The sequence below is a fragment of the Homo sapiens genome, chromosome 11 (genome assembly GCF_000001405.40).
Source record: "Homo sapiens chromosome 11, GRCh38.p14 Primary Assembly".
Lineage (NCBI taxonomy): Eukaryota > Metazoa > Chordata > Mammalia > Primates > Hominidae > Homo > Homo sapiens.
Window position 1 is genome coordinate 72,382,050 of NC_000011.10, and position 21,672 is coordinate 72,403,721.

Below are 21,672 nucleotides of genomic sequence, written 5' to 3' on the forward strand. Positions count from 1 at the left end.
TCCAGGCTCTTGACCATCACTCACAGACCCAGGCTCCGTGCCTGCCCAGGAACAGGCCAGCCCAGGCTCCAGGCCAGTCCCCATGCCACAGACTTCAGTGAACCCAAAGTCTAGGCCTGCTCCAGCAGACTCAAGGTCCAGACCCACTCCAACAGATGCCAGTAACAGCCTGGCCCCCATGGGATGAGACTCCAGGACCATCCCTGTATACCCACGTTCCAGGCCAGCCCTTGTGGACCCAGGGCCCGGGCCCAACCCCCATAAACTCAGGCTCCAGGTCTGCCCCAGTACCAGACCAACCCCTGTGGACTTAGGCTCCAGGCCCGTCCACCTGGATGCAGGCGCCAAGTCAATCCCAATGACTAACCATTCCCTGCAGATTCAGGCTCAAGGCCCATGCCATCACAGGGTCAGTCCCTGTGCACTTAGGCTTCAGGCTGGCTCCCGCAGATATAGGCTCTCAGCCCACCCCTGTGGTCCCAATCAATAGGTCCACTCCAGTGGGCCCAGGCTCCAAGCTTAACCCTATGAACCCAGGCACCAGGCCCACTCACCTGCTGACCCAGGTACCAGGCCAGCCTGCCTAAGGACTTCAGCACCAAGATCATTCATGAACCACACAAGATGGCCTGCCCAGAATCTCTGGACAGGCTGAATGGTGAAGGGCTTTCTCAGGCAAAGCCAATCTGCAAAGACTGGATAAGTTCCTACTTTTTCACATGCTCAGACACCAAAGCATGGCCAGAAGAATCAAGAACAATCAGGGAAACTTGATCCCACCCAAAGAACAAAACAAAGGATCAGTAACCAACCCTAAAGAAATGGATATTCATGACCTGCCTCACAAATAATTAAAAATAATTGTTTTAAGAAAGTTTAGCAAACATTAAGAAAATATAGAGAAACAATTTAACAAAATAAGGAAAACAATAAATATCCCAAACAAATTTAAGAGATTGAAATTATTTTTTTAAAAAACATCAAAAGAAATCCTGGAGCTGAAAAATACAATGAATCCAATGAAACTGCAACACAGAGCATCAACAGCAGAACTGATCAAGCAGAAGACAGAATATGTGAACTCAAAAATCAGTTATTTGAAAATAGGAAGGCCAATGGTTTCCAATAAGATTCAGTCCAAATAACACTACACCAAGACATATTATAATCAAACTATCAAAAATTAAAAGACAGGCTGGGTGCGGTGGCTCGCACCTGTAATCCCAGCACTTTGGGAGGCTGAGGGGGGCGGATCATGAGGTCAGGAGATCGAGACCATCCTGGCTAACACGGTGAAACCCCGTCTCTACTAAAAAATAAAAAATAAAAAAATTAGCCAGGCGTGGTGGCGGGCGCCTGTAGTCCCAGCTACTCGGAAGGCTGAGGCAGGAGAATGGCGTGAACCCGGGAGGCAGAGCTTGCAGTGAGCCAAGATCGCACCACTGCATTCCAGCCTGGGCGACAGAGCAAGACTCTGTCTCAAAAAAAAAAAAAAAAAATTAAAGATAAAGAAGGATTCTGAAAGCAGTGAGAGAAAAAAAGCAAGTAACATATAAGGGACTTCCAATAAGGCTAACAGTGGATTTCACATTATAAACCTTATAGGCCAGGAGAGAATGGGATGATAGATTCAAAATGCTGAATGAAAAAAAAACCCTGCCAACTAAGAAGACTATATCCAGCAAAACTCTTCTTCAGAAATCAAGGAAAGATAAAGACTTTCCCAGAGAAATAAAAGCTGAGGGAGTTTATCACCACCAGACCTGTCTTATATTTCTTAGACAGGTCTGACGGTAATAAATTTATATGAAATGCTAAGGAGAGTGCTTCATGTTGAAAGAAAAGGATGCTAATTAGCAACACAAAAACAAGAAAGTATAAAACTCACTGGAAGCCTGAGAAACATGCTGAAACCCCATCTCTACCAAAAACAGACAGACAAACAAATACAAACATTAGCCAGGCGTGGTGTCACATGCCAGTAGTCTCATATACTCAGGAGGCTGAGGTAGGAAAATCACTTGAGCTTGCGGGGCAGAGATTGTAGTGAGCTGAGATCAACCATTGCACTACAGCCTGGGTGACAGAATGAGACCCTATCTCAAAACAAACAAACAAAACACCCCAAAAACCTCACTGGTAATGGTAAGCACATAGTTAAATTCAGAATACTATGATACTGTAAATGGTGGTAAGTAAATCACTTTTATCTTTAGTATTAAGGTCAAAATACAAAACTGCTAAAAATAATATTAGCTACAATCATTTGTTAAGGGATATATAATACAAAAATATGTAAATTGTGACACTAAAAATACAGAATATGTTTGTGGCGGGTATGGAATAAAAGTGTAAAGAAACCACAAAGTAAAACCTAAAGTAGATTCATAAAAGGTAAAAAGTAAGGAATATAAGTATACTACTAAAGAAAACCACCTAATCACAAAGGAAGACGGCAAGAGAGGAAGAGAGGAATAATGGATCTACAAAACAACCAGAAAACAACAAAACGTCAGAAGTTAGTCCTCACCAATCAATAATTGCCTTGAATGTAAATGGATTAAAAAGAGTAAGACCCTACTGTATGTTACCTACAAGAGACTCACTTTACCTATAAGGACACACATAGACTAAATACGAAGGAATGGAAAAAGATATGGCATGCAAATGGGAACCAAAAGAGAGCAGAAGTACTGATATTCATATGGAATAAAATAGACTTTAAGTCCAAACTGTAAAAAGAGACAAAGAAGGTCATTATATAATAATAAAGGGGTCAATTAATCAAGACACTATAACAATTGTAAATATATATGCACCTAACATCACAGCACCTAGATATATAAAGCAACTATTAATCAATGGGAAGGGAAAGATAGACTATACTACAGAAACAGTAGGGACTTCAATATCCTACTTTCAGCAATGGACAGGTCATCCAGAAAGAAAACCAATAAGGAAATGTCTGACTTAAGCTACACTTTAGACTAAATGGATATAACAGACCTATACAGAACATTCCATCCAACAGCAGTACAACACACATTCTTCTCAAGCACATGGGAACATTAAAGGTCTCCCCTTACATGCATCTCCTTAGTCCAAATTCCAAGAGTAACTACTGTTTATAGATTGGCAAGTTTCCTTCCAAACCTTTGCAATTACAAAAATCACTCCAGTGGCTGTATAAGAAGAGGGAGTATGACCAGAGGCAGGGACTCCATGTTAGCTTCCCTTCTTCCTGCTATTTATGTAATATTCCCACTAATACATTTTTTCCTTCTAATAAAAAAGGGCTCATGTTCACTATAAAAAACCAGAAAATATAGATAACCAAAAGAAGAAAACGTCTTAGAACATATAACATCTTTCCAGTTTCTTCAATGGATATATACATACTTTTATTTATAAAAATGGCATCATATATAAACTTTCTCTCTGAATGCACATACATCTTTCCATGTATTATATGTCTATTACATTGTTTTACTGGCTGGGCACAGTGGCTCATGCCTATAATCTCAGCACTTTGGGAGGCCAAGATAGCTGGATCACCTGAGGTCAGGAGTTCGAGACCAGCCTGGCCAACATGGTGAAACCCTGTCTCTACTAAAAATACAAAAATTATCTGGGCGTGGTGGTGTATGTCTGTAATCCCAGCTACTTGGGAGGCTGAGGCAGGAGAATCGCTTGAATCCGGGAGGCGGAGGATGCAGTGAGCCGAGATCGCGCCACTGCATCAAGCCTGGGCGACACAGCAAGACGCCGTCTCAAACAAACAACAATAAAAAAACCCACATTGTTTTAAATGGCTACACAGTATTCCACTATAAGACTATTCCATGCTTGATTTAACCAATCCCTACTATAAAACAATAGATTGTTTTAAATATTTTAGTAACATATTTCTGATTATTTCCTTTGGATAAATTCATATGAGATAAAATTTACATCAAAAAGTATAAGCATTTTAAGAGTTTTATAAATATTACTAAGTTGCTTTGCAAAAAGATTGTGCTAATTTTTATTTTCACTAGCAAAGTATGCTGTATGAGAGTAACTGCTGTGCCTTCCTTTACCAAAATAGAGTAGTTTTTTTCTTCTTTTCCAGAATATGTCAATCTGGAAAACAGAAAATAGAATCACACTGCTCTTTCAATTTGCATTTTTTGATTACTAGTCAGGATGAATTTTTTTAAAATATGTTTAATAGTCAGTTGTGCTTCTTCTTCACAAATCCCTTATTAAGGTCCTTTGCCCATCTTTCTCTTAGGGTGTCTATCTTTTGCTTACTAACCTTCAAAACTGCTAATGCTTCTGCAAGCAGAAGTGGTAAGCATTTTAAACAAATTACTTATCGTAACTATTAAAAAGCCAAACTATGGCTTGTTTTCTCTTCCTTGATAGTTTTTTAGTATTTGTAACCAGTAATGTTGATGGTTTCCCACGTACCATTTGGTTTGAATTTCATTACCTTCAACAGGCACAGTATCTGATTCAATTACTTGCTGAACGAATGAAGGAATTTCACTAACTTACATGCACACAAAGATACAGTCCTTACAGGTAAGCCCAAAACCAGATTCCATCTCCTACATAGCAGTGGTTCTTCTATATGTGACCTAAATCAGTTAAGTGAGTCTTCTGTGCCTACTCACCTTACCTAAAATAACTTTTAAAATTACCTTCAAAGGTAATTTATCCAGAATATGAATTAAGATTTCAAAGAGAAATGAGAAGGGTCTCTAAGCAGCTAAAATCTATGTCTAAAACTCATATGTTTAATTCATAGAAGTCTGTTGGGTTCTCATTTGGAGACTATTTACTCTCAGTTTATACACAATTTGGATTAAGATTGGCATTAGTCAGTCTTCCTATTTCCCAGAACGTTTAAAGCTAAGAGGGTACAAAAAGGCAGATACAGATAGGCAAACTAACTGAAAGCACTGCAAAACAATGTCTGATAGAGAAGTAGTATGGCACAGAAATTAAGAAAACTGGCTGTAAAATCTGGGATGATCAGAGCATCAGAATGAATAATGACAGTAATGTATTATAACCCATTAATTATATATAATTATAACCCACTGAGTAAAATAAGATTCTCCATTGAAGTCCACACTGAAAATTAATAAGTAAATGGAGAGAAGGGAAAGTTCTGTCTTACTATAGAATGAAAACTAATAATTGTAGAAGGAAGGATGAAATTAGAAAACCACCATTTTGTGGCCTCATAATAATTATTAGGATAATAAGAGTAGCTCATCTGGTTGTGTTAATACACATAAAGTAGCTTAGAACAGTGTCTTGACACATAACAACTGCTCAATGAATGTTAGTTATTATTACTATGTACCTGACCCTGTGGCTGGACTAAGGAAAGTCAGGAGACATACCAATTAAGACATCTAAATTGGGAAGACAGCATGGCATTTTATAACAAGCACAGAGAGACCTGTGTTCAAATCAAAGCTCTATCATTTACTGATTGTGTGTTCTTGGACCAGTGACTACACCTCTGGGCCTTCATTTCCTTACCAGAATAATGGAGATAATGATGGCTGCCGTGCAGGTTATAAGTACGTAAAACTCCATAGTGCCTGACACATTAAAAAAAAAAAAGCTCCACAAATCTAAGCTCTTTACCCTCTGTTTGTATAATCTCAGCAATAATCACATGAATCTGGGCTGTGATGGGCACCAGATCTATACCTGACCACCCTAGCACTCATGCTGGAATAGTCCTGCGTTAAGAAGGCAGCTCTTCTATATTCTGCACAAGTTGATGTGTGTTAAAATCCAAGTGTCGATCTAAACTCAAAGGGACGTAATTTGGTTAATCCTCAGCTGCTGTGTCCAATCACCATTCAATCACACCCCCTCCCATGGCAGGCTGTCCCTCCAGGCAGCTAGCGTCACTAACTGTGCTACCTGGGCCTCTCCAGGTTCATGAGTATTGATTTCATCTGTCCAATTTGCAGGCTGTAGGACGTGTCCAAGCAACCACGTATGTTGCCCTTGGTCCCAGAGGGCAGACAGTGGTCTAGCAGGGTGGGGAGAAGAGAGTGACTAGGATCGACCCTGGGGCTGCTAACCCAATCAAAGGGAATAAGCAATTCACTTCACAAACTTGGAGGCCAAAGAGGGTAAGCATCCAAGACAGTGACTCATCCTGAAACCTCAGAGAAGATTCCCTTCCCCTTTTTTTTTTTTTTTTTTGAGACAGAATCTCGCTTTGTCGCCCAGGCTGGAGTGCACTGGCGCAATCTCGGCTCACTGCCAGCTCCGCCTCCCGGGTTCACACCATTCTCCTGCCTCAGCCTCCTGAGTAGCTGGGACTACAGGCACCTGCCACCATGCCCGGCTAATTTTTTTGCATTTTTAGTACAGCCGGGGTTTCACCGTGTTAGCCAGGATGGTCTCGATCTCCTGACCTCGTGATCCGCCCGCTTCAGCCTCCCAAAGTGCTAGGATTACAGGTGTGAACCACCATACCCGGCCCTCCCTTCACTTTTAATAATACTCAAAAGGCAGCAGCACCACTGTGGGGTATAGACAGGGCTAAAGAAACCATGGCTGCTCAGTAACCAACAGTGGCGTCAAACACCTTGACATATGGCCAGTAGGTTTTTTGTTCAACAGCCTTCATGTACTTATAAAGTATCTAACCAAGAGCTCCAAACGGGTCAGGCCCTTCTTGGAGAAGCCAGCCCAGATCGGGCTAGAGGGCTACAAGAGTATGATTCACCACTAGCTTTGATCACCAAAAGAACCTCACTGAAACTATAGCATATAGCATATAGCAGGGCAGAAACACGGTAGAAGGCTAGCCAGGTTAGAGAAATCTAAGGCAAGGATGGTGAAAACGGGCTCAGCAGTAGGCCAACACCAGGGAGTGCCAAGAAGTTCACAATCAAAATAAAATTAAGGGCCACACACCAGGCAGCAAAGGTGTACATGAGGTCAGAGGTCAAGAACTAGAGGGTGAGGTAGAACAGATTATAAACCAAGTGAGTAGCCAGAAACCAAGGATTACACTGGTACCAGAAGTCAAGGCAAGGCAAAAGCAGCAGCATCCAGGAGCAGCAGTAAGGAGACAATGGAAATGGAATTATTTCTGCCTCTTTTATTTTCTGCTGAAGCAGAAAGAAATCCCCAACTCAAAACAGTATTTGGGAGAAGGTGACTTACATGGGGAGATGATGGTGAGTCAGCCCACCTGGCTGATATACAGAACACAGAGTGAGCAATAAGAACCAAATCTGATGGCACAGAGGAAGGTAGGCACTGCTACTGGAGCTGATCCATTAAAGGACAATAGGACAGTAGCAACTTCTCCTTTGTTCTGATGCTGGCATACTGGCTGCCATGTTGTAGGTGTGGGTTTCACTATTACTGTCTTAAATTTGAGTAGCTGGTACCACATGGGCTGTGGTATAAGGCTAGGTCTTCACGGTCTTAACAGTTGGATTAAAGGAGGCAGAGTAAAACAGGCCACTCAATTATGTTTTTCTATATCAGGACACATCTCCACTCAAAGGAATTACTCCACAGGCACTCACTGGGCAAAGGCTTAAGAATATCAGCGATTCTCTGGCTGGCATGGTGGCTCATACCTATAATTCCAGCACTCTGGGAGACTGAGGAAGGAGGATCATTTGAGCCCAGGAGTTCAAGACCAGCCTGGGCAACATAGTGAGATCCTGTCACTTAAAAAAAATTAAAAATTAGCCAGGTGTGGTGGCACATGCCTGTAGTTCCAGCTACTCGGGAGGATCGCTTGAGCTCAGGAGGTCGAGGCTGCAGTGAGCTGTGGTTGTGCCACTGCACTCTAGCCTGGGCAGGAAAAAAAGAAAGATTATCAGCCATTCTCTCAACCAGCTCAAGATTTGGCCTCTCATGGTAGTACAACCCTCAAAGGCTAGGGATAATCTCCAGATACCCTATTACCCTTACTAATTTGGGGAAGCAGAGAATGTCTATGGCACAAGTATGTTATATTGCCTTTCACTTCCCAATACTGACTTTCAGGTAGTTAATAGTCTGTAGGAGCACTTTGCCCCAGATCAGGCTTTGATAGAAATGCTAGGATCAGAAGGCCCAACATGCCAGGCGCAGTGGCTCATGCCTATAATCCCAGCACTCCGGGAGGCTGAGGCGAGCAGATCACTTGAGGCCAGGAGTTGGAGACCACCCTGGCCAACATGGTAAAACCCCATCTCTACTAAAAATACAAAAATTAGCCAGGTGTGATGGCAGGTACCTGTAATCCCAACTAATCGGGAGGCTGAGGCAGAAGAATCACTTCAACCCAGGAGGCAGAGGTTGCAGTGAGCCAAGATCACACCACTGCACTCCAGCCTGGGCAACAGAGTGAGACTGTCTCAAAAAAAAAACGAAATAGAAAAAAAAAAAAAGAAAAGAAAAAAGAAAAAGAAGGCCCAACAAAAATGAGGCAAAGATATCAACAGCCAATTCCTAGAGGAGGAAACCAAAAAAGGATTATTACTAGGTATATAAAGAAAATCTTCAAGTTCATTTGTTATTACAGAAATGCAAATTAAAATGAGATATCACTGTAAATTCAACATATTCACAAATGTTAGAAAGCTGAAAAATGGCAAGTGTTGGTGAAGATGTGAGGATCTGGGACACTTCATGCACTGTTAGGGTATAGACTGGTGCAGCCATTCTGGAAGCCAATCTTGCAGGACTTCATTAAAGCACCTTACCCTATGACCAAGCACTTCTGCTCCTGAGTATACAATTCTTAGAAAAATTCTTATGCAGGTCCATAAAGGGCAACACAAGAAATGGTTCATCACAGCATTCTGTGGCAGTGGGGAGTTGCGGGCCATCAAGTGTCCACCACTGGGGGGACAGATAAGGTAAATGTGGTAGTCACACACTATGAAACACGATGCAGTAGTTAGAAGCAACAGGCTGGATATACATGCAACAACATAGATGGATGATTTTTTTCAAAAAGTGTTGAAGTCCTATCTCTTTTATTTACATATTAATTGAACTTGACCATTTGTTCCAAAAGTTAATCCCTTTCAGGGAGTCTCTCAATTATAAAACTTCTAATTCCTATATGATCTAGTAGTCTTGGGGGCTGAAATATTAAAGACCCACTGAAAACAATGAACTCCCTGCAGTACACCAAGGGCCATCAAAGATGCCACCTGCTGTCCCCTCCTTCAACTGGTTGGTGTTCATTCACCTTCAGGGCTCCTTGGTGACACCATCACCAACTCAACTGTGCCTTCTCTGATTCCCAGTATGAGTCCATGCTCTTTCTCTTTGTCTGCACAGCACCCAGTACTCACTCCCATGGTAGGTGACCCTCATATTGTATCATGATGGCCTGCTTACTTTTATTTGCCTTTCCCACTAGACTATGGGGCAAGGGCCATGTCTCAACCTTATTTCCCAGCTCCCTGCCCAGTGCCTGGATCACAGATGTTTTCTGAATGAGTGCATGAATAAATAAATGAAAGATGAATAAATGAAATCATTAATTTATTTGATGGAAAATGGGAGAGAAAGGTGGACAGCAGCTGTCTCTGCCCTGCTCAGCCTTCTCCCACCTGAAGGTCCCAACTAGGCTGCGGGTGGTTTAGCTGTGGAAAACGTATATGTTCCTCTCCTGAACAGTAGCTCCTTCCTGGGCTACAGAAAGTTCCCAGACAAAGCTCAGGAAATGAACAGGAGGGTGGTCACTAAGTGGCAGCTCCTGAGATTCATGGAACTCCCTTTGGAGCCACAGCCAAATTAATTTGCTGATCAGGCTGTAATTAGATTAAAAGTGGAAGCACATGTAGGAAGGTTGGCTCACACTGACCTTGATGAGCTCTTGCTTTCAGGGTGGTGGGGAGTCACAATAAATGGGAGGGCAGTTACTTCAATCAGTGTTTAGGCTTTCTGCTTTCAGTGGCCAGAGGGGGTTGGGGTGCTCACATTGTTTAGGGAAGAGCGAGAAAACCTATGGTGTGAGCTCAGGCTTGTGTTGGGCCAGGCGCGTGTCAAAGACGGCTGGCGAGCAGCTGGAGTTGGTGAAGCAAGAAGGGCAGTGATCCCAGCTCCAGGTCATCCCTACACAATGTTGAGCTTCAGAAGAAGCTCCTCTAACTCCTCCTCCTCCCCACCCCCCACATCTGAAGCATAGGATCACTGTGATGAGTGTCACGGGTCCCAAGGAGAAGACAAAGAGTGACCTCTTCTCAACCCAGTGCACACCTCGATGAGGGGAGGAAGTGAAAAGGTCACAGTTCAGGAGGTCTGCTGGAAAGTCAAATGAGTTGTGGCTCATTCAGTAACCTGGTCTCTGGCTGGTCAGGAAAGCCGGGTGGCCCAACCAAAGGCACTAGCATTTGTTAAATCTACAAGTCCTGTGGCATGGGGACATGAGCTGAGAGTAGAGAGGGCACAGAGAACAGTTTTCTTTTTAAAGCCAGATTCCTAAGGAAATGAATTAAAGATTGGGTAGGAAATAAGGTACCTGTATAGAAAATGTGCCCCAGTTTCCTCAAATGAGGATAATGTTTATTTATTTACTTCAAAAAGTAAAGATCAATAATCATAATAAAGCAGCCGCAGTGTGTTAGACACTTTATATTCACTATTTCAGATCCTTATAACAACTTGCAATGAGGTACCAGTCCTATTTTATAAATAAGTAAACTAAGGCTCGGCAAGATAATATGAGTTACCCAAATGTACACATTAAATAAGCACAAGAACCAAGATTCAAAACCAGGTCTGTCTGAGTCTAAATTTGGTGTACATTCCCCTAAACCACGTTGGCTCTCACCCAACTGACCATCCATTAGTCTGTCTTCTTATCCCATAGTTACTAAGCTCTTACTGCATAGTACCAGGAACAGTGATATTTTCAGATGGCAGTTAAAGCAAAGCAGGTCATAGCAGCTAGCTGGGATAAGAAGGAGTCTGTTTGAGATAGACAAGGGTAAAAATCAGTGGTGAACCCAGACAGAGGTGATATAATTAGGGGCAAGGCTCGAGGAAGGCATGGCACGTTAAGCTGATGGCCAAGGAATCAAGATCACCCACAACAGGGTTTCCAAGATAATCCCAATTTCACATCCTCAGCGTAGTTCTAAATACACTTCCATGTCTTTCAATTTGTGGTTCATAATATATGGTCACCAAACCTAAGGCCAGTGTAGTCAGGCCCTAGATGTTAGGACTTATTACAGTATGGACCCAGACTAGGCTCTCTCTAGGCAAATGATCCAGAACAGTATGATGGGGCTGGCATATCTCTTAGACTCGGGTGAAAATAACAACAAAAAGAAAAAACAATATTAATAACAGCAGCAGATACCTACTTATTCACTACACTAAGTAGTTTTATGTGCATTTTAATCTTTGCAACCACCTTATGCTGAGGTAGGTGCCATTATTATTCCCATTTTGCAGATGGGTAAACTAAAAACCATAAGAGGCACAGCAAGGTCTTCAACACAGGCAGCTTCACTCCAGAGCCCCTATTCTTCACTACCATAGTATACATAAGTAGACTGGATGCTCCCCAAAGCAGGGACTGTGCCTTGACTATTTCCATCTCCACACACATAGGGCCTATACAGGGCAGTAAATATTTGCTGAATCAATTCACTTCTGGGGCCTGATGTTGCACAGCAGACAACATATTGGGTTTTTAGTCAGCTTCTAGACTTTACTTTTAGTATTGCTAAGTTTTGCACGTTGGGTTTTACAGTTGGTTTTTAATTGTTGACCCATATACTTATCCTTGTTAGTTTTTATCAACACAGATTTAACCATTGCTCTAGCCCACTGAGGTTTTATTTAATGTCCCCTATTTTTTCACCCAATATATTAGTACCTCCTCAAGCTTCATTAACTCTGTTGGCATTTATCAATGACCTCAATGAAATCAGTGATATAAAATACTGAACAGGACAGAGCCCCATTGCTCACCACTCAAGCCTGCTCTCTAGTCTGATGTCCATTCATACATAAACAATGAACCAGGTCATTTACATTTACTAGTCTGACTATACTATTTTTACATCATAATTTTACTCATATAGATGTCATTAGAGACATCCAAATATCTTACTAAAAGCCTGAAACACCCATGATATCTACTGCCGACCCCTGGCCCACCAGCCTGGCAGCTCTGTTAAAATAAGCAGCTTATGGTACAGCTGTTTTTAAAGAAGTCTCTTAAAGAAGAGGTATAGAACTAGACCATCTCACAGTTCCTAGAGATGGAACACCCTGCCCCAAGCAGCTGAACTGAATGAACACTGGATGCTTTCCTATCCCCAACTGCCACTCTCCATAATGAACACTGGATGCTCTCCTATCCCCAACTGCCACTCTCCATAATGAACACTGGATGCTCTCCTATCCCCAACTGCCACTCTCCATGAAGACAGCACTGAACACAGAACCCCAGGACAGAACAGAGCATTGGGCCCAGGAAGTATACCCTGAGACTGTCACGTTAGGCAAATGAGCTGGCACTGATTTCCAGGGAGCAGCGTCTTGAGTTGCCTGAGGTTGAGGCATGTGTCTGCCAAACTACGAGTGCATGCTGGAATTGGAATATCATTACCACAAAACAGGATTATCTTGAGCAACGATTCCAAATGGGATTAGAAATGACTCTTTCTTACTCAGAGATAATCGGCCATAGCAGTAGGGGTGGGAGAAACGTCAAGCCCAACACTTTCCTGGGGGCACGGTGCTGCGGTGCTGGCATTCTGGGCACTTGGCCAGCACCCTCACCCATCCTTCCTTGCTGGGGAATACTGGGTACTGTCCTGCACTGGGCAGGTGGCCACCTGTAACAAAAGCCAGCCTATATCAAGGTACCCTGCTCAGGGGTCCCATGTTCTTGGGTTCCCTGCCGGTTGCTTCTACGAGCACATCTCTGCTTTCCACCTTTGTGAGCCTATGCTCACAATGGTCCTTCTGCAAATGCTCTCCCCCTACTCCCTATGTTACCAATCAAATCCTGCCCAACTCCTCTGAAAGGGCCTCTTTTCATGATGCTGGCTCTACACAGCATCATCTCCTCCACAGCACTCTATGTGTTCTTCTCTGTGGCACTGAACACATTCTGCCTCATTCTCCAAAGCGGGACTTTTATCCCTTTTCTGAGTGTCAGCTTTCTGAGAACAAGGAGAGTGGCTTGTCTGTTTTTACAGTTCTCAAAATCCATATAATACATCATGGGTCATCAAGAAACCCTGATAGAGCCGACTTGACTCCTGGTTCCAGCATCCTTCGGTCCATCCCATGGCCTTGCTCCCGGCCCCTTCCCTCCATAGGCAGTGTAGTCCAGTGGAAAGAGCAAGGGTTTGGGGTTCAGAAAGACCCAGCTTCAAATCCTGGCTCCTTCTTTTACTAGCTGGACAACCTTGGACAACTCTGAGCTTCATTTTCCCTATCTGTAAAATAGGAATAATAATCCCTTCCTTTCAAGATTGCCCTGAGGATTAGACCCAACATGGGAAGTGCTTGACATGGGCCTGGCACACAGAAAGCACCCAATCAACTACTGCCATCATCATTACTACAGTCAGGAGATCACACAGCACAAAGCCCAGCCTCCTTGGGCAGAAGGTAGCCCTACTCTACAGCACGAAGCCAGACCAAGAATAGGTTAGAAGACGGAAAAGGCTCTGTGCCCCTAAGGCAGGACCGACTTCCATGTGGTTGGTCAGGTTCCCTAAGGACCTACTTTCAAGCACAGGTACACTGGTACTCTACCTGCTCCACGTATAGCTAGCCAGGAAGGAAGCAGAGCCTCCCAGGGAGGCTGCCAGTAGTCTAGCTGCAAGATTAGCATCTGCTCTTCGCTCTAAGAACACCCATGGAGCTGTTGGGGTCCACAAAGGAAGGCCTTTAAAACCTCTTCTGTAGGACAGCAATCTGGCTTAGGCTATCGGTTTTTTAAAGAAAGGGTTTAATGCACCCTCTCCCCTTAGTAAGGCAGAGGGAAAATAAGCAAATGCTAAAAATAAATGACTGCTGTGAGAGGGAATTGAATGGTCTTCAGCCAAGGATGGCAGCACTTTAAAATTAACAAAGCCCGGGTACCACATCCAGGAAGGCCTTGGCAAATGCGTGTTATCCACTCATTAGCTCAGTTCCTCGGGGACCCTGGCCAAGCAGGGAAGGCAGTGCCGGGAACCAGTCCTTCCGACACTGATGAAATGCACTCGGGGAGAAAAGGCAGAAGGAGGGAGGGAGACTCTTGTGGGGAATTTCAAACAGTTCTGATGTGCTTCATGCTCTGCCTTGCAGTTCTCACCTTCTCCGAGGCAAAGGCTTGCAAAAGCCACCACCAAGCCCAAGCAGGATGAAATCAAAATCTCCCCACACCAGCCTCCCTTTTCAGGATCTTTGGTTCCTGAAGCACCACAACGGCCTCACTATATAGGTGGTGTCCCTGCATGAGAGTCCAGAGATAAGGAACCCAAGAATAGTGTGGGAGAGGCAAGCTCCCAGTCTGTAACCTCAACTTTCTCCTTGCTGGAATGAAGAATCATATACTTTATGAATTTATACAAGTCCACTGTACACTACTCATAAAGTGAATTTATCACTATTCATCAGTAATTATACTTCATTACATCACTGATAGTATGAATTGACAAATCTTCATTCCCTACTAAAAATCAGAATGCATATCACTCTAATGTGAGATATCATCAACAATAAGAATTCAAAACATTCCAGGTGACCATTAACAATATGAATTAATTTTGATACTACTAATACAAATTCTCAGTATGCCACTGGTCACAATTAATAATGAAAATTAGAGAGGGATGACAGCTTTTTAAAAAGTGTTTAAAGTCAGTTTACTGAAGTATCACATTTACACAGAGTAAAATTCATCCTTTTTAAGATATATAATTTAATGAATTTTGATAATTATATACATTCATGTAACCAGCATGATAATCAGGATACAGAATATTTCTCCATCATCCCAAAAAGTTCCTTTATATTCTCTTCCCATTCCCAAACACTGGCAACCACCAATCTGATTTCTGCCCCTAAAGTTCTGTCTTCTCCAGAATGTCATATACATGGAATTACAGAGCAGGTAGCTTTTTGTGTTGGTTTTAGCTTAGCATGGTGCTTTTGTTGTTGTCATTGTTTGTTTGGCTGTTTTTACCGTATGGATATACCACAATTTGTTGGTCCATTCACCAGTTGATGGACATTGCATTATATCCAGTTTTTGGTGGTCATGAATAAAGCTGCTATAAATATTTACATACAGGTATTTTTGCAGACGTACATTTTTATTTCTCTTAGACAAATACCTAGGAGTTGCTATTGCTCTGTGGTATGGTAAATGTATACTTTACCTTTATAAGAAACTGCCAAAGTGTTTTCCAATGTGGCTATACCATTATGCATTCCTATCAGTGATGTATCAATATTGTTCTGTATCCTTGTCAGCCCTTAGTATTGTCAGTTTTCCTAAATTTTAGCTACTGTAGCAGGTATGTAGTGGTATCTCATTGTGACTTGAATTTGCACTGAGTATGTTTTCATGTGCTTATTTGCCACCCATCTCTTTTTCGATGAAGCATCTGCTAAAATATTTTGCCCATTTAAAAAAATTAGATTTTTTTTATTATTGATTTGTAAGACTTCTTTATATGTTCTGGGTACTACTGCTTTATAAGATACATGTTTTTACAGCTCCTTTTTTATGAATTAGAAATTATAAGAATCTAAGTCTTACAATTTTTCTTCTAAACCACTATCCTCTGCACATATACTCTAATTAAGGGACTAGGAACAACTTAAACTTCTAATTTACAAACATCTTAGTGCTGCTGGAACAGAGGGCCAAGAAGTACTTAAACCGTGCTAAAACTCATGAGACTATTTTTATCTCCATTGCAAGCACCTAACAATACCAGAGCTTTAAGGAAAGCTACATCTGGAGAAATGACTGTCCTATGAACAGCTTTTGGCCCCCCAGGCTCTGCACCTCCCAAAGCCCTGTTCTGGTCCACCAGACTTCTGGAATGGTCAACAGTCGTCACACTCCATTGCTGGCCATTGTTCACTGGGAAAGGTAGGAGGCTCCCAATCCATCCCTCAGTGGAAGAGCAAATAGTGGGGCCTGTGGCTGCTTGGACATCAAAGTTGAGCAAACAGGCCTGGCAGGCCCTGCCTCTCCGCCTACACATCCTGCAAATGCCATCTGAAGGAGCTTCCCCAAGGGGGTCATGACTTTCAGCCTGTCATAGAACACATCAAAGTTTGCACCACACACGAACTGGGTGCATGGGTTCGAATCAAGTCGCCCGAGAGCGGATACTCAGCCATTGTGTCCAGTTTTAATCCTGTGTTTTCCCAAGTAATTAAGCCTTCTTGCTTATGAACTTGTGACTAAGTAAAGCATCACCGAGAGGTTGTAACATCAAAGTGCCTTCCACCGTCTGTCCGTGTTTGGTAAAATTGGATTTCTTTTCCTTCTTAAAGAAAAACTAATTGAATTTAGCTGAAGGCTGTGTATATTTGCACAAGCCGGTGAAGGCTACGCTAAGTCACAGTGATCATTCTGGGACCCTGTGGCTTAGCCTTTAGCTGGACTGGGTCAGAGTGCAATATAGAATGAGACACCCAGACTCAGGCTAAACAAGTGCCTTGTGGCATGAGGCTTATAGAGGGCTAACTGTGGAGAAGGGGCCAGACCCCAATGACTGTTCCTTGAGTCAATACTATACCCAAGCTGTTACTAGGGCTGGCAAAAGGATTGTCCTAGTAGAATGTTGGTAAAGCTTTGGCAGCACGGCTACTGAAGACAATGGCCATCACATTACTCAAGTCCTGGATGTCGGCAGTCCAAGTAAGCTTCTTAAGGCAAAAGCTGTGACTGCTTATTCTCTGAATCCCTGATAGCCTAGCACATTAGCACCTGACACCACAGAGTTTTTAAATATGTTTGCTGAATATACATAATGATAATATATATTTTATATATATAAAACCATAAATATATATAATACATAAAGATATAACTCTCTGTATCCCTTTTTTGCCCTATCAGGAAACTTCAATCTAAATTAATACTCAATTTCCCTAATTACTTAATTTACAGTAAATACAGCATGGTCCCATTCATGTTAAATTTGTACATAAACATATATATAACAATCAATTTCCAGATAAAGGGAATTCAGGTGACTACTATTTTATGTATGATTTTTACAAAAACAATAAATCTATTTTCAGAAAAGAGAATCTCTGGTTCAATCTTTATACAATTATCTTTCCTTTAACCAATATGATTTCTGATCTTGATCCAGTTTTCCCTCTCCTGTGTATATTTATATTTGTATTTTAAGTCACTTCAAACTCTTTTTGGAAATAAAAGGAGAAAATAAATTATAAATTAAATTATTGTGCATATTTTTAAAGTGTAGTTCTATAGCACTGTTATTTCCTATTCAAAACCAAATAAAATGTACATACAGACCTAGAAATTCATAAGACATTAAGCTCCTTAAGGACAGAGACTATTGTATTCTATATCCCTAAAGACTTAACATATTATTAAGCAGCATCAGGGTGAAATGATTGGGCTACTCCGAGGATCTCTCTCTTGAGCTTGTGGCTGCCTACATCCTAAAGGAGGTGAAGGAGGTGAAGGTTCTCTGCTTTCAGCCTTGAATCAAGGGTGCTCCCCCTCTATCTTCCCTTCATCGAAATCTAATTCAAAGGTGGTAGCATTTCAGGCCTGACCAATATGATTCTGGAAGGATTTGGAGATTGATTATATGAAAATCAGTATATTTCTAATAAGGAAAAACTTATTGGCAGATTGTGCTGGTATGGATATGCTAATCCTCCAAGACTACTCACAGGGCACCTTAACAATGAGGCCTACTCACCCTGACCAATGTACTCCTGGTACTCCCTTTTTAACAAGTTCTACTTTTCCTTTTTCCCACGGCACTTATCTTCTAATATATTAAATAGTTTACGCATCCATTATACTCATTGTTTATTGTCTATCCACATCTTTCTCTACCAAAGGACCACAACTAATACAGAAATAAGCTCTATGTGGGCAGGGATCTTTGTTTTTCATCAACATTATTTCAAGTACATAGAACAGTACCTGGCAAACAGTAGGGGCCAAAAAAAAATTCTGCGATATGAATACATAAATCCAACCCAAGAGTGTGCTATTTTCAGTAAAAATCTGTCCTCCCTGGATAGTGGAAGAGAAGGTCACAAAATGGATAATTAGTCCTAGGAACCAAAGCAAGTAAATATAAGCCAACACTCTCACTTTGCTCAACAAGCATCACTGATTTGCTAACAGCTCTGGATAAAGACAGAGCAATCAGTTAAGCCAACAACTCATTAGATTCAAAGAGATGTGTCCCCAAAAGCATATCTACTAGCCATCTGATCACTAATTGACAGTATTTTTAAGCATCGTGTTGTTTCCTATTCAGTCTCAACCTTGAAAATACTACACACAGAAGGGAACACACCTCTCCACCTCTCCTTCTTTAGCACCACTGGCTATTTCTTGCAGAGGGAAACAGCTACAAGCTGGGGGAAAAGACTGGTGCATGTGGTGAAGTACCAGCGGTGTAGAATAACACATGTGTTTGTGTACAGAGATCTAATGGGGGCATCAGGGACTAACAACCCACCTTTATAACCTGTAGCACATACATTACCTTATTTGATTCTCCAAAGAATATGGTGAGGATCTACTATGCTGCCACATTGAGTCCCCTCACACCCTTTGCTTCGAGGGTATCCCATACATACTGCTCTGAAATCACTGATCATACTATACTATGTCTCCTTACCTGCATTTGTTTTCCCCATTAGACTGCAAACTCCCCAAGGTCTCGGATTCTGCAAACACTAGCACAGGGCCTGGCTCAAGGCAGATATTTACCTAATGTTCATAGAAATAATTAATTTCTGATGAAGAAACAGGCTGTCCATGGAGTTCTGAAATTCAGTTAAGGCTTGGAACCAGGACTGGACTCTAGGTCTCTCAACTACGAAGCCTATTTATATCAATTTTGCTTTTAAAGAATAGGTGCGCCAGACATGGTGGCTCACGCCTGTAATCCCAGCACTTTGGGAGGCCAAGGCGGGTGGATCACAAGGTCAGGAGATCGATACCATTCTGGCCAACATGGTGAAACCCCATCTCTACTAAAAATACAAAAAAAATTAGCTGGGTGTGGTGGTGTGCGCCTGTAGTCCCAGCTACTCGGGAGGCTGAGGCAGTGGAATTGCTTGAACCTGGGAGGTGGAGGGTTGCAGTGATCCAAGATCGCGCCACTGCACTCCAGCCTGGCAACAGAGTGAGACTCCGTCTCAAAAAAATAAATAAATAAATAGTAAAAGAAAAAAGAAAAAAGAATAGGTGCTTGGAGCTAAAGAGAGCAAATCAGGAAACCGAGTGACTAAGAACAAGTCCACAACAAAGGAGCAGAGAAGAGAGACCTATCTCATGTACAGCTAAGTCTCTCAGTCAGTCTGAGGCAGTACCACCTCTAGATTATAAAATCCCAGTTACATTTGTTCTTTCACATTTATAATCCTTTCACAGGTGGCCAGTACACCTTAAACACCTACTTGCAGAAAGAACTGAAATTGGTACCTCCAACTATCAATTTCAATGGCTGTTACTAAAGTGCCCACTCTGCTTTCTTTGAAAGTATCCCTTTTTGCTCTTAATTCTTTCGCACAATCATAGCTAGAGCAAATGTGTACTTCATCCCAGCACTTCCAGAATTATACAGACTCCAAGGCAGAAATCAGAACAGACTGAAATGGAAAGGCAGCATCAGCACTAGGCTGGTATCTGGCATCGGGAGGTAGCAGTGAGATAAAGTAAAAAACACAGATCATGGCTGGGCACAGTGGCTCACGCCTGTCATCCCAACACTTTGGTAGGCTGAGGGTGCAGGAGCACTTGGAGGCCAGGAGTTCAAGACCAACCTGGATAGCACAGTGAGACCCCTATCTTTAAAAAAAAAAAAAAAATTAGCCCAGTGTGATGGTGCATACCTGTAGTCCTAGCTACTCAGGAGGGTGAGGTGGGTGGATCGCTTGAACCCAGGAGGCTGGGGCTGCAGCGAGCCATAGATCGTACCACTGCACTCCAGCCTGGGTGACCAAGCAAGACTGTATCTCAAAAAAACCCCAAAACCCAAAAACACAGACCTTTCAGGCAGCCAGACCAGGTTCTAAATCCTGTCCATGTGACATAAATAAATCACTTTATCTCTTTGGGTTTCAGTTTTCTGAGCTACAAAATGAGCATAATATATATTTTGTGGAGTGATTGTGAGAATTAGATAACTCACTACACAAAGTAAACTATTTCAATCTTTATACAATAGCTACAACCCTGATAGGATGGGGGAGGGGGCAGGAAAATAGCACAGCCTCCAATGGGAGGGAAAGAAGCCCCCATCTTTCTTAGTTTCCATCAGAACTTCCAAAGAAAAAGCCCCTGGAGGAGCACTCACTGGGGACAGTAACTGCAGACTTCTCAAGGTCAACAGATGGTAGGTAACAGAACATTACAATAATTTGCACCTATAAACACAACCAATTACAACAGGCTTCCAAACATTTGGTTGCTACAACAATGCAAATGACGTGCCTAAGGTCACAAAGCCAATGACTGAGGGAGCTGGGATTCAAGGCTACATCTTTCTGGTCCACAGCTACTATACAGTCCAATGCACCAGGTGAAGTCCAGTACCTCAGTCTGAATCTATCTTCCTGCCTCTGGAAAAGACAGCAGGGAGGCACACCAGGTGGGAGAGTGCTCAGGAGCACAGTCTGCAGAGATCTGCCTAAAGGAGCCCTGTGTGGAAGGTGGTCTCTCACCTGTTGTTTCGGTTGATGGCTGCCACCATGAGTGCTGTCCAGCCAAGTCTGTGCTTTGCATTGACATCTGCACCTTCTGACAACAGCCTAAAACAAGACAGAGGAATATTTTCAGTGTATGGCTTGACATCTGCACCTTCTGACAACAGCCTAAAACAAGACAGAGGAATATTTTCAGTGTATGGCTTATCATGGATGTAAAAGTAGAAACAACCATAGAAGAAATGACATAGTCAACAAACAGAGCCTGAATGAGTCAGGAAATAGAGGCCTTTGAGGACTACATTCCCAATTTCAGCTCCTCTGGCCATTCTGTCCCATCAAGACTTTCCCTACCTCTCTCCTTCCCTTAAATCAGTCTGTCCCCCTTATTATCTTCCAAACCCTTTGAGAAAAGAATGGTCCCTCCCTAACTTAATACTCTGACACTGTCACTCCCTTGGTCCAGAATGCTCTCTCCCGGCTCCTTTGCCTATTTGAATTCTCCTCTCATGCTATTTAATACAATCCTTGTGGCTCGTGGACTCCTGAGAAGGAAGCCTTCCTTAACTCATCCAGTCCACAGCAATTCCTTCCTTAATTTCCCAATGCTAGGAACAGAATGCCTAATGACATGTCTTATCTAGGTAGTTCTCAGTTCACAAAATGATCATATTCCTCAAGTTTATCTGTACTGTGGTTGTTTGGAAATTGAAAATCCTTCAACTCAAGGAAAGATGGAAACAATAGATTAGGTTCCTAGGAGAGTCCACACAG

General features: G+C 42.3%; 1 protein-coding gene across 8 annotated transcripts in view, besides 1 other annotated feature; it reads right to left on the minus strand.

The window, feature by feature from the left end:
* CLPB (ClpB family mitochondrial disaggregase) overlaps positions 1 to 21,672 on the minus strand; it is a 149,037-nt gene that overhangs the window by 96,555 nt on the left and 30,810 nt on the right. For 6 of the 8 annotated variants that reach the window (NM_001258392.3, NM_030813.6, XM_047427655.1 and 3 more), the window contains one exon: positions 20,917 to 21,003. The exons of the other annotated variants lie outside the window; for them this stretch is intronic. In NM_001258392.3, coding sequence (NP_001245321.1) covers positions 20,917 to 21,003 — 87 coding nt within the window. The remainder of the gene's footprint in view (positions 1 to 20,916; positions 21,004 to 21,672) is intronic. 8 annotated transcript variants of the gene reach the window in all.
* Positions 10,175 to 10,224: an enhancer, noted in NCBI's record as "active region_5185". NCBI's record gives its function as "activates an Ori minimal core promoter by ATAC-STARR-seq in GM12878 lymphoblastoid cells {active_cell/tissue: GM12878}" and the evidence as "EXISTENCE:reporter gene assay evidence [ECO:0000049][PMID:35858748]".